Consider the following 12,758-nt stretch of genomic DNA (forward strand, 5'->3'; position numbering starts at 1 on the left):
CCTCAGGATATTAGGAAGGCAGTGGAGGGCTTTGAACAAGAGGGTGATATTTACGGATAAATGAATGAATGATTATGTCCATCACAGAATTTGTTGTAGGGTGGAGATGCCCTCCCAATAAAGTTCTAGAATGACATCTTAACTTTCCTGTCCGTATTCTCTCTTCAACTTCAAAAAAATCTTCTCCCTGTGATATCTTTTTCCAGCATGGATCCCCACCACATATCTTCATCCAACTCCCTCTCAGCTTGTGCTATGAAAGCAAATGTCAGAAAAGCCACCATCGCTCCCCAAATTCCAACCACGAAGAGGAGTTGGAGAATGGGGAGGTAGCAAGGACCTCTAAAGTGATCTTCAAGTTACTAGAAATCATGAAATTAAGCCCTGGGATGTCTCCATTCTTCTTCCTTTCCCATCCTGCTCAAAATAGTCTTCTTGCTCCAGAAAGTACCAGAAAAACCTTTCAATACTCAATTGGGGTTGAAGGCTAGTGATGAAAATGCATACTCAGACACTCTTTAAAAGGTTACATTCTGTGACAAAGAACATTTTCATGCTCTCCCAGGGTTGGAGTTAGCATGGGAGAGGGAGAATGGCGTGTCCCCAGGGTAAGAGGTGGGCATTATCTGGTCCCATTACTCATGGGAAGATGGTTTCGTCTAGTCCATAAACCCTTCATCTGGGTGTTTGGCTAAACCTGAAAGGTTGCAGGCTGGAACCCACACACCTGCATTCTGATTCAGTTCACTCTGAGCTTTCTCCTGTATAGAAGGAGATTCAGTTCATCTTTGAGCTTTCTCCTCTATAGGATAAGAAGCTGGCACAGATGACAGCTAAGGTCCCCTTTGGCTCTGATCATCTGAGATTCCGTGACTTTGAATGTTTTCCAGGCTGCATTGCTACTAGATGCTTAAGTAGTGCTTTCTCTCATCCCAAAATTGGGATTCATTTATTTCATTAATTAAACACTTAAACTTGCAGGTCCTGTGCTGGCCACTGTTTTAAGTGTTAGGTGCTAGGGACACAAAGGAGAATAAGACATAATACTTAACTTCCTAAAGCAAGTAATCTAGAGATAGGAAAAGGCATGCATATAAATAAACATTTAAAGTACAGTGTGATAAGTATGATGTATATGTGACATGATATGAAAACACAGTGGAAGGAGAAATTGGTTTTATCTGGCCAGACTAGTTAGAGACATGTTCATAGAGGAGGTAACATCTGAGCAGGGTTCTTAAGGATGAATAGGAGCTCATTAGGGAAGAAGGGAAGGAAAGGCCCCAGAGTTCAAGAACTGGGTGGAGGTCCACCATGCATTGCAAGAGGAGTAGGGGAGGGGAGAGGAGTATAGAATGGGCCTTACACATCAGGAGGTGCTAATAGACTTGCAGTACCCACTTCTGGGGCCTGCCCACTGAACGTCTTCCTATAGGACACAAAAAGCCTCCGCTTTTAATCAGTGGAGCAACCAGAGAAGTAATAGTGACTTTCTCAGGAAATATTCTGGATATTCCACTACAAGCTAGGATGGCCTCCAATTTGGATGACTAGAAGAAGAGGGAAGTTTGGTTTAAATAAAAAATTCCACAATTCCTAGGAAGATCTGCATTCTTCGGGTGTCTACTATAAGCCAACCACAATAGATTCCCTGGCTCTGTATCTGCAATTTCTGGACCAAGTCACCTTGGTGCATGCCAGGGCCAGGGTCTCCTGCCAATCTCATCTGGATGTCTGATTGCTATATTTGAAACTCTGTCCAGCATTTCCTATGCCTTTGGCCTTGTCTTATTCTGTGTTGATATAAGCAGTTTACTACTGCAGAGAGAAATTCTCTGTCCACAATAATGAAACTCTAAATGATTTTTATAGATATTGTTGTCATTGTTTTTAGTCTCATGCTGATGAAGGTTGAGGCTCTAAAATTAAATCCAATTTAAATATTACAAATTTCTAATGCAAAGGCATTGGGACAAACAACCCAAATGCATATCTATTTTTAAAACCCTGTCTGTTTTCATAGGGTAATCACTTAAACAGAAATCAGCTCTCACACTTTTGATAAATGCATGGAAATAAATCCCAGCTCATTTAAGGATCATGTTCTATTCTTTCTTACAGGGCACAAAGGAATCCTAATAAAGTCTGATGTACTTCTTCTAGAGCTTGTCCTGTCCTGGGTTTCATGCTTTAAAGCAGTGGTTCTCAAAGTGTGATTCCATAGTAGTATTTTAGTAATATCTTAGAACATGTTAGAAATGCAAATTCTTGGGTTTTACCACAAACCTACTGAATCAGAAACTGGGAATGAAACACAACAATCTGCGGTTTAACCAGCTCTGCAGGTGATTCTGATAGTCACATAAGTTTAAGAACCATTGCTTTAGGGCTTCCACCTTGTTCCTCCTCATGGGGTGAAGTATCCAGTGCAAAGACAAAGCGCCAACCCAGAGCCAGTCCACTGCTGTAGACCACCTGCTTGAATGTAACTTTCCATATAACAGCCAAAGTTATGTTGTGGGCTTCTTCCCTCTTCTGGACCATACTCCTAGGACTTATCATCTCAGAACCCATGTCCAACCAACCCCGAGCCTGGTAGAGCTAGAGGAGAGAGGGTTCTTTTTAAGACCCCTGAGGTTAATCAATAATATTTTGATCAATTTCAGCCATGAAACTTGATTAATGGCGAACTGTTCAAAATTCAATCAATGCATAGTTTAAGGAAACTGTGCCTCTGCTGATCGTTTTTCAAGGACTAATGGGCCTTAGCCACAGCTATTGAAACCTGATAACTCTGTCAATCACCATCCCCCTAATCCCTCCACACTCAGAATTTGTGGGACATTCTGTCTACCTCACTGGCTCCCCCTTTCTACTGTCCCTGAATCCTCTGTAGCAGTGGTTCTCAACTTTGGTTGTAGCTTGGAATCTTCTGGGAAGCTTTCCACACTCCTGCTGCCTGTGTCTCACCTTCAGAGATTCTGATTTCATTGACCTGGAGTGCTGCCTGGGCATCAGGAATTTGTAAAGCTCCCTAGGTGATCCCAATATAAAGCCAGGGCTGGGAGCCCTAGGTGCACAGGGTGAATGGGAAGCTTGGAATTGTTTTTGATAAGCTAGTAATTAAGAGAGATTATCAATAAATTAATACATCTCAGAAAACATAAAGTTCAGGTGTGGTCACATTATAAGCCACAAGAAGGTCTGAAAATATAGTTGACAAACCCTCTGGGGAATGTTGTCCCTGTCTCTCCTGCCTGACCCACGCCCAGTTGTCTAGATATAATTGACATTTGTGAATTGGAAGGTTTTTGTTTGTTTTACTCCTTGCATGCCACTTAAAATGTTCTCTGGCAATGCCCATTATTGACCATTATTAAGGCCATTACCAAGCACATCAAATCATCTCAAAATGGCCAAAGTTGATTTTTTCCCCCCAAAAGAACTCTTAGTCAGCAAACCTCATGGTTGCATTCCATACTAGAAAAGATTTCAAATTCCTTTTCCCATTGTGGACAGACTCCGAGTAAGGACTAACAGAGAGAGGGGATTCAGGGGAATAGTTACAGCCAGGAAGATCATAGCAATCACACCAACAATCATTCTTATACCCTCAACAACATGTCCTTAATCCAAGGCATTCCTAGTGAGTTTCCCTACTCACAGAGCTCTCCTGGGCAGAAACTAGGAGAAAGGGGGCTGCGGCTGCCCTGGTATCTTTGATGTAGTGCAAGCTGCTCTTGGGACTAGCCATTGCTTTGGAGCACATGGGAGGACTGGTCCCAGAGGTCTTTTTGGCCAAGTGTCCCTAAATCTTTGGTGTTAAAAATTTCAGCACATGGTCCTTGGACTTAATGATAGGCCAACCCACTATTTGGTAATAGCCAAATCGATCACTACATTGAAGATGCCAGGGCAGCCACAGCCCCCTTTCTCCTAGTTTCCACCCAGGAGAGCTCTGTGAGTAGGGAAACTCACTAGGAATGTCTTAGATTAAGGATGTGTTGTTGAGGAAATAAGAATAGTTGTTGGTGTGACTACTGTGATCTTCCTGGCTGTAGCCATTCCCCTCAATTCTCCCATCTCTCTGTTAGTCCTTACCCTGAGTCTGTGCACAACAGGAAAAGGAATTTGAAATCTTTTCTAGTATGAAATATAATATGAGGTTTGCTGAGAAGGAGCTCTTTTTTGAGGGAAAAATCAACTTTGGCCATTTCAAGATGATTTGATGTGTTTAACTATCTAGTGGTTTTGGCACATCCAATAGGAAAATAATACATCTGGTACCAAGGACTTAGGAAGACGTTAAGGTTCAGTGAAATTGCTATTCTTTTTGATGAAAAGTTTCAATGCTGACAATTCTAAAGTGCCCTGGCAATTTTCTTAAAAAAGAAATGGTCCTATGGCTCTTTGGGAAATTTGTGGGTAAATTTCCCACAAAACCCTTTCTAGCACTTCCCCAGAGAGTCAGACAGCTGTAGGTAGGAAGAAGTTGTTGTGGTTGGCTGACCTCAGCTTGAGAATCAAAGGGCACTTGCTATGAATGAGAGTGGCCTTCTATTGTGTGTGGCGAAACACAATCTGCATGTTCACCTGACTGGAGGAATTCATGAGCTGTATGACGGCCCACACCCCAGGGAGGTTTTCAAAGTGTGGGTAATTACAACAACATTAATGTGGTGGAAGATAAGACATCTAAACACACAGCAGCCTTCTGTTACAGAGTTGAGGGCAGAATATTTTTGCAAGAATGTAGGGCTAAATAATAGTCCTTGTAGTATAGCCCCTCAGCTTAGTAATACTAGTAATACATCTATAATCTACATTTGAGTGCCAAAAACAATCCAATAATTTTTCAAACTTTTCTGAGACCCTAAGAAAACATCTCCTTGGTTCCAACTGGCTAATCCTTAAACCACACACACAAAAATCTATTTCAGTGATGCTTTTGGCCTTTCGCTGATCCGTTGTTCCCATACTTAGGACTAATAGCAGACAGCGGTACTGGGAACAATGACTCTCAGGTTCTCATATAATCATAACAGCACCTATGGAGTCAAGGTTCGCATGTAATCATAACAGCACCTATGGAGTCTCCAGGCTACTGCAGACCTTGAATGACCACCTAGGATTGAACACGTGAAAGAAAACAAAACGGTGCCAGTGAATGTTAACACTCAGATCCAAGCCCTTTATTCTATTTGCTTTATAGGATTGAATGTCCTCGGCTCTTCTTGAGCTAGCCTTTTCCTCTCAGTGTGTGGTATGTTTTCTAAGCAATAGGTCAAGAAATGTTACAACACATAAGACTATAATGCGATTCAGATGTAACTTCAGAAATTAAGACAAGGTAAGGATTCATAGCCCTGAAAAAGACCAGGAAATATACTGGCTTAACTGACACAGGGGATTCTAGTGCTTTAAAAAAGGCAGGCAGTCCATCCTTCAATTAAGGAGGGATAAGGGATGAGTCATGGGACTTGAATGTAAGGATTCGAGTAAAATGCCACCCTTACTCATTAAAGTGTCCATTAGATGAGGCCATTTCTGTTTGAGCAGCTGGACTTCAGTTTCACTGCAAAAATTGCTGCACCTCTACCAACCTGCATCCAAGAAAACATGGATCACAAGCAGTCAGCACCAAACACATCCCAAGGGAAACCGAATCTGAGGACACATCAGATACCGTCCCACTCCACACCACTCTGGAGTGACAGCTGCCATCGCGTCTTGAGCTCCCTTGCTCTTCTGCAGTGACATTTCCTGGCTTGTCTGCTGACTTCACACCCAGAAAATCTGACTCAAGGCATGAAAGAGATAACTCAGCCCAGCTTTGCCCAGGCATGCAGCACATGCAAATCCTAGGTAACCTGAGGCGAAGAGCTGGAAATGAAGAATTTACTTCCATGAGTGTGTTTGTCAGGGGGCTTTGTGCTGTTTTAGCTACTTCCTGTGCATGGCTTTAACTATCTTAGTCCCACATGGGCTCCTATTATGCAGTAACACATATGACTTATGGGGAATGCTGGAATGCCATCAGGGTGGTTAACTCTAATGAAGGGCTATTTGACAGGGATTTTCGAGCTTATGTTAAGGAGTTTCATCTAGCTCTTTCATTATCTCAGGAGGAAAGGTCAGGAGAGATGAAAACCTGCTGTCCTTTCTAAAGTCACTTGGTTCTCATATAATTATATTTCAGAATATTCCCAGTCTTTTAGTGTTTCTTCTTTTAAGGTTGATTTGATAATGACAACATGAACAAAATAAAAAGTCTGCATTGGGGAAATTTACTCTGGAGCTAACGAGAGACCCACAGAGAGCATCTGTCTCTAGAGACCCAGAACATTGTGAGTAATTAGAAATTCCAGAGATGAGGGCAGACATTTTTCCTTCTCAATCACCACACAATCACCGCACTTCTCAATCTTTAGCAAGAGACTTAACCTCTCTGCCCCTCAACATCTTCTTTCAAAAATCAAAACGTTATACCCTCCATATTGGATTATTGAGAGGGTTAAATTGAATGAGCATTTAGCACAGTGCCTGGCATCTAGTTGGTGCTACATAAATATCAGCTATTCTTATTAATATCATTAAAGACATTTGGCCAGAATCAGGCAGCTAGTTACTGGCAGATCTGGGTGCAGAAGAGAAAGTGATGCCTCCTGTTCATCCCATGCCCCCATCTGGCCCTCTCTGGCAGGAAGAAATCGCCGCTTTGTGTCCCAGTCGTGATTGGAATGGCTGGCCATGCACATGCTCAGTGGAACTGAGCAATTGTAGAACGCTCAGCCTGCAGCTGTGGGGCGATTATCTGCAATCATTTGCCAACAAAGATGCTGAGTAACAAACTGAAACGTTTGTTTTTGAAATATCCATTTTCTTCAGCCATGTCGCAGTCAGAGGGAGGAAGCTGCTCCAGCTATGGCTGTGTTCATCAGGGTGCTGCAATGTTTAGCTATCACGAAAACTTGCCAGGCACTGTAAAGTTAATAGCATCTTTGCTTAAGTAATTGCTGCCTTGCAGAAAAAGTGAATCACAAGGAGAATACAACATGGATGGTATCCTCATGATCAAATTTATACTTGGTTATCCAGGGATTTGGGACAAGTTTAGGCATCTGCTGGATTAACTTCTTGAGGTCTTAGGAGTATTTCTATCCGTGGGGCTGTCCCAGTGTAGGCACTTAATGAATGTTTATTGAAAGGAATTGAAGACTCTTCCCACAGCTGCGCCAGTTTATTCAACCCAAGTAAATCATTATTTCATGTTATACTGGGAAATAACAAGTGGTCCCAATTCACCTTCTTGGATAACTGGGTGAGCCTCCCTTTCACTTTGGCTATGTAGTGTTTTATTTAAGAAGGAGAGTGCCACACTGGTGGGCTGACAGGTGCGCCACAGAGGAACTAAGAATCTAAGACCCTCGTTCCACCTTCTTTATGAGCACTAAAAGTGTACATAGGTGTTGTGCAAAACAGACATCCTCCTTACTTCCAGCTTGTTCATTTTTCTTGTCCAGAATTTCCTTGGAGAAGGCTATGCTCCAGCCCAGCCGCTGGTTATGTTGTGCAATCCACTGGGATGGCAATCACCTCATTGTTTAGTTACAACCCATGAAAAGATGAAAAAAAGAAAGAAAAAAACACAGCACACATACAGAATGAGGGTGGAGACTGCACGGTGATAATGGAAACCATTTGTTAGCATTTCACTTCTTTCTTTGTGAATCAGCCGAGTTTCTGGCAGCAGGCCTCTGTCTGTAAAGGAAGCTGCACCTCAAAGGCCCTCCAGGGACTCTTTCTGCCTTGTCTGGTCTAGAGAGTGTCGCCTTTTGTCCCCGGGAAGGTGGGCGCTAGACTGACTGCCACAGCTCCCTCTGTGCCGCAGCCACCAGGCCTGGCTCCAGCTCTCACCTTTTGTCCCAGGGCCACGTACCTATCCTGTGTGGTTGTGCATTGGCAGTTACTTTTAAGCTCTGCCTAAACCACAGTTTGGTCTCGTGTGTGTGAGGATGCTTTTCCCCTTTGTCATCTCCCTGTATTGTGTCCCCTCATCTGTGTCCACCACTTTCAGCCCTGCTTTCTTTTTAGCTATTTCAACTTTTCCTTCTTTCCACAGACCTGATTCCTGTATTCTCAAAATAAGGCTTCAAACTTTGGAGGAATAAAAAACAAAAATAAATTAAAATTTAAGAAATAAAAAACCCCAACAAACAAACACCAAAAATTTCACAACCAGTAGAACACTGTGTATCTGCCTGAGCATGTATGTTTTGCCTGCACTGTCCCAAACAGAAGAATCACTTCAAAAGGCACATGTGATGTTTATGGGCAGAGACCAGTACCAATGCTCTCTGTGCACCTGTGTTCATTAAGTCCCAGGACCTAAGTGCTCTCCCTCTCTGCTCACTTCTGAAATCTATCACAGCGTTTAGATAGGTCAAGTATAGAATTTAGATCCATAGAGCATGGCAGCATTATCTTCAACAACCACCACCACCCCTACCGCCACCACTGCCTCCACTTCTTCCATTACCATCACTACCATCACCTCCTCCAACACCATCATCACCACTACTTTCTCCATCACCATCATCACCACTACTTTCTCCATCACCATCACCACTACTTTCTCCATCACCATCACCACTACCACCTCCTCCGTCATCATCATCATCACCATCCTCCCCAACACTTCCTCACCACCAACATCCTACCACCACCACCAGCATTACCACTTCCAACATATTGCCATGATTACCATCCCCACCATCAACACTGCCATTACTATTACTAACATCATCATCATGATCACCACCATCATCACCATCATCATCATCCCCATCACTTCCAAAGGGTTAAAGAACTTTGGAGTCATGGAAGTTTGACCAATGTTCTCCAAGACCTCCTCATAGGCCATCAGTAGAATCACCAGAGGCAGAAGATAGCTGAGCCTTGAGGTCATTTAGTCTCTTATGGAGTAGTTAAATGAATTGTGTAGGTCCATATAACCTCCAACTGAGTGGTGAATAGAGTGGGGTCTAGAAATCAATATTCCTGATTCCCCATATATTTCATTATACTATTTTCTAGCACTCATTCTGGGGCTGTTTTTTTCCTTTCTTTCTCCTGAGATTTTTCTTTTCTTTTGTCAGCTTTGTGTTTCCAATAATGTTGGTTATAAAATTTTTCAGTTTAGACCTTGATAAATCTTAGAATTATCTCAAAAGAGCAATACCTGTAATGGTCACAAGAACATTTATATATAGATAGGTGCACATACACACACAAGTATTTTTTTTTCGAGATGTAGTTTTTGCCCAGGCTGTAGTGCAGTGGCATGATCTCAGTTCACTGCAACCTCCACCTCCTGGGTTCAAGCAATTCTCCTGCCTCAGCCTCCTGAGTAGCTGGGATTACAGGAGCGCACCACCATGCTTGGCTAATTTTTTTTTTTTTTTTGTATTTTTAGTAGAGATGAGGTTTCACCATGTTGGCCAGGCTGGTCTCGAACTGCTGACCTCAGGTGATCCGCCCACCTCGGCCTCCCAAATTGATGGGATTACAGGTGTGAGCCACTGCGCCTGGCCATATTTTTAAAACCAGGTAAGGAATTATGTACCTTCGTCCTCCAAAATGAGGCAGGCTCTTCCATTTGCCTGATGCAATCTATTAAAGGTAGGTGCACAATTTTTGCAGACCATGTTGAGTTTTTCAATTTCTTCACATCTGAAGACAAGTGGACTTTGTGCTTAGGCCTCCAAAAGAAGGGAACACCCTTTCTGACCTCTCCTCTCAGCCTCCAGAAGGAGGCACCCCTCTGGCTAGTCCAATTCCATGGCAGCAACGACTCCCACTTGTAAGAGAGGAGTTCTGGGAGTTAAAGGCCAGGCCCTGAGCATAGCTGTCTCCTGGCCCTTCCACCCCAGCGGGAGAAGTGGCAGGACAGCTGTCTGAGGAGGAGGCCTAGACAGCTTCTTTTTTCCTCAGCCACTGGTTCAGACTGAGTGGGGAGCTCCTAGTGACTGCTGGGTCACTAGGGTAAGTATGCCAAAATTGTGAGTTTGAGTTTGGGTTTGTGGGAAGAAAAGGCAGGGATAGGATAGAAATCCCCAAGAGTCCTCTTCGGCCTCCACCTTAGGCTGTAATAGAAGTATTAATAAGGATAGAATGACCTATATTTTATGTATGAAATTAAATGTAATATAATATTGTGTGTTAAAATATGTTAATTAGTCCATTAGCATAAACTGTGGGTTAGAAAAGAATACAACTACTACCACTAATACTCAATAACATGTATTATGTATTATGTACCAGACACTATACTAGCACTTTATATATATTTGTTTCCTTTTAAAATACTCATTAAAAATCTTTTGAGGTTAGTATCCTCTTCATTTGACAGATAAGGAAACTTTACCTCAGTAGTGCTGTGGGGAAGTAGAAGGTCACACTGTTGAGTGGGTGGCATGATGGACAACAGCCCAGGTCCCTTGCTCTGCAATTCACTCCTTTTTAACCCTACTCTGCACTGCTCAAAAAACTGATCAATTCAAGGGAGCAACAGTTCCACCCTCTGGGTTTTGTTCTGAGTGTTGATTTCCGCTTCCATGATATGGATAATGTATAGGTGGGATTCTGTGCATCTTCTATGCTTGAACATACCTGATTGCTTTTAAAAAATCAGCACACCCTTTTGAGTTTGTAAAATATCTTGGCTTCTCTACTTATCTGTCATGACATTCTCTTTGTTTATACCCTTGAGGGAGCTCCCTCCTCATGAAGTAATCTAACCACCAAGGAAGAGATTTTGGAAGGACCCACTAATCTGATAGAAATGTAGCCATGAAAGATAGATGCTTAGAAATGTGAAGTTGTTCCTTACTGAGAAATTTATAGAAATAGAATGTGGCTATTCTATTTAATTTTATGCATTTTGGATAAGACTTACTCTTAATTCTGAGACTGTGAAGAAAAACTGCAGGCAAGACAGAAACTATTCACTCTGGGCTGAGGATGTGATTCTCTGTTGATTGGTTTTTTGGGTGTGAATACCAAGCCAGAGGCCGATGGAGCCAAATGGAAACTGTTAATATTTCCATTCATGGACATGCAATAGCAAACCATCTCATACATTTACAGGAAAGCATCAAATATAATATCTTTGTTGAGCTTAAACAAAACTAGAGTAAAATTCCAGTCGACAAGAATAGAAACTTACCCTAATGATTTCATTTTTAGTCCAAAACATACAGTGTTTTCTCTGCTTGGTCTGTTTGTCACTTTCTAAAACAAGAAATTACCAAGCAAAGACTATGGTTTGAGGGACGAGTGGAAAGCAATAAACATTGAGCAGAAATGCAAAGAGATCGAATGTCAAGAGTCCTTGGTGGATGAACATTCAGAAGTGGATTCAATTTGTGAATTGTTGACTTTATTTCCCAGAATTCATGTGAGTTGCTCAATCAGGATTCAATTGTCCAGGCTTCATGCTCTCAGCAGTGAGTGCTTCATATAACAGAAGTAAATCACAAGGCAAAAAAGAAGAGGTTGAGTTACCATCAGTGGTATGTTGTTTGTTTGTTTTAGGCAAGACATTTGCTTTCATTTTTAGCAGGTGAAATGGTCTCTTTCTAGAATAATAAAAATCTCACACTACAAAAAACATAGCCAGAAGAGAAAGAACCATCTTCTGATTTGCCATAGTGAGTTGAGTAGATAGCTTAATATTAGGAATTATGTTGCTATGTATACAGCAAATTGGTGGTTTTCATTGCAAGCACTGGGTGCAACTCTGGAAGTTGCTCTAGCCCACCAGCCCATTGCCTCTAGAAACTCTCTTTAAAAGAGATAAAGCCACCATCTTCTTTTAGCTTCTCAAGAATAGTGAGTATGATGGTGCAAATTAGAGGAAGGCTCTTCATCAGTGAACAATGGCTGTCACCTACAGGGTAACAGTGACATTTTGCAGACACATCAGAAGGGCACACCATGGCCATTAATTATGCAGTTTGGCCCTATCACCACTGGGCACTATGGGGTATCTGACAATATTGGTACCGATGATTGATGGCCCTGGCCCTGATGCTGGATCTGCTGATTCCCGTTAGGAGCCATCCTGGGGCTAAGCCCAGGTCAGGGACAGAGGGAGAAATGGCTGTGTCATTTTCCATCAGCTTGGAGCTTGTTGAGTGTGGTGGCATGAATGGATGAGTCCTGAACAGATGGAATGAGACCACCCCAAAACCTATAGGCACTGGAACAAACTAAGTGAGCTGGGATTTGTCTTACCCTTAGGAAACCTGATGCTATTTGTAGAGGAAAACTGAAATAGTAGGAAGAGAACATTGGAGCTATAGTGGGATACAATTGAGAGAGGAGGGGAGTAAGAGAATGAGAGCAAAGAGTAAATGAGAAGTGGGGGAAGCAGGAAAACAACAGAGGGGAGTGGAGAAAGCAACGGAGGGTGTGGAGGGAGATCCAGAGGGCAAAGGAGCAATGTCAGCAAGAGAGAGTGAAGCTGAGAGAAAGACCAGAGAAAGAGACAGAGACTGAGAAAAGACTTTGAAGATAATCTCAACCTCAGCTCTGGTGAGGAGGAAGAAATCACTGCACAAATCACAAGCAGACTTACAGTACTCAGCTTGTGCTGGTGAGATGTGATTCCTGAATTTCCCTAGAGAAAAAGTCCAAGGAATAGGTAATCATAGCCATTTTATAATAAGCAACAACTCTACCAAAAGAACCCAGAT

At 42.4% G+C, this 12,758-nt stretch overlaps 1 protein-coding gene and 1 long non-coding RNA gene across 4 annotated transcripts in view, besides 1 other annotated feature; one reads left to right on the plus strand and one right to left on the minus strand.

Annotated features, from left to right (window-relative positions):
- Positions 1–12,758, plus strand: part of NGF-AS1 (NGF antisense RNA 1) — an 85,039-nt gene that overhangs the window by 11,847 nt on the left and 60,434 nt on the right. The window lies entirely within an intron of this gene.
- Positions 1–12,758, minus strand: part of NGF (nerve growth factor) — a 52,333-nt gene that overhangs the window by 8,964 nt on the left and 30,611 nt on the right. Inside the window, exon 1 of one of the 3 annotated variants that reach the window (XM_011541518.3) lies at positions 5,517–8,578. The exons of the other annotated variants lie outside the window; for them this stretch is intronic. Within the exon in view, the coding sequence (XP_011539820.1) occupies positions 5,517–5,545 (29 nt within the window). The 5' untranslated portion in view covers positions 5,546–8,578. Of the gene's footprint in view, positions 1–5,516; positions 8,579–12,758 lie in introns of those variants that run through there. 3 annotated transcript variants of the gene reach the window in all.
- Positions 5,089–6,288: an enhancer, noted in NCBI's record as "BRD4-independent group 4 enhancer chr1:115842590-115843789 (GRCh37/hg19 assembly coordinates)". NCBI's record gives its function as "activates an origin of replication core promoter dependent on BRD2, P300/CBP, MED14 and CDK7 cofactors, and independent of BRD4, by STARR-seq in HCT116 cells {active_cell/tissue: HCT116}" and the evidence as "EXISTENCE:reporter gene assay evidence [ECO:0000049][PMID:35650434]".

Source organism: Homo sapiens, chromosome 1 (genome assembly GCF_000001405.40).
Source record: "Homo sapiens chromosome 1, GRCh38.p14 Primary Assembly".
NCBI classification, from domain to species: domain Eukaryota; kingdom Metazoa; phylum Chordata; class Mammalia; order Primates; family Hominidae; genus Homo; species Homo sapiens.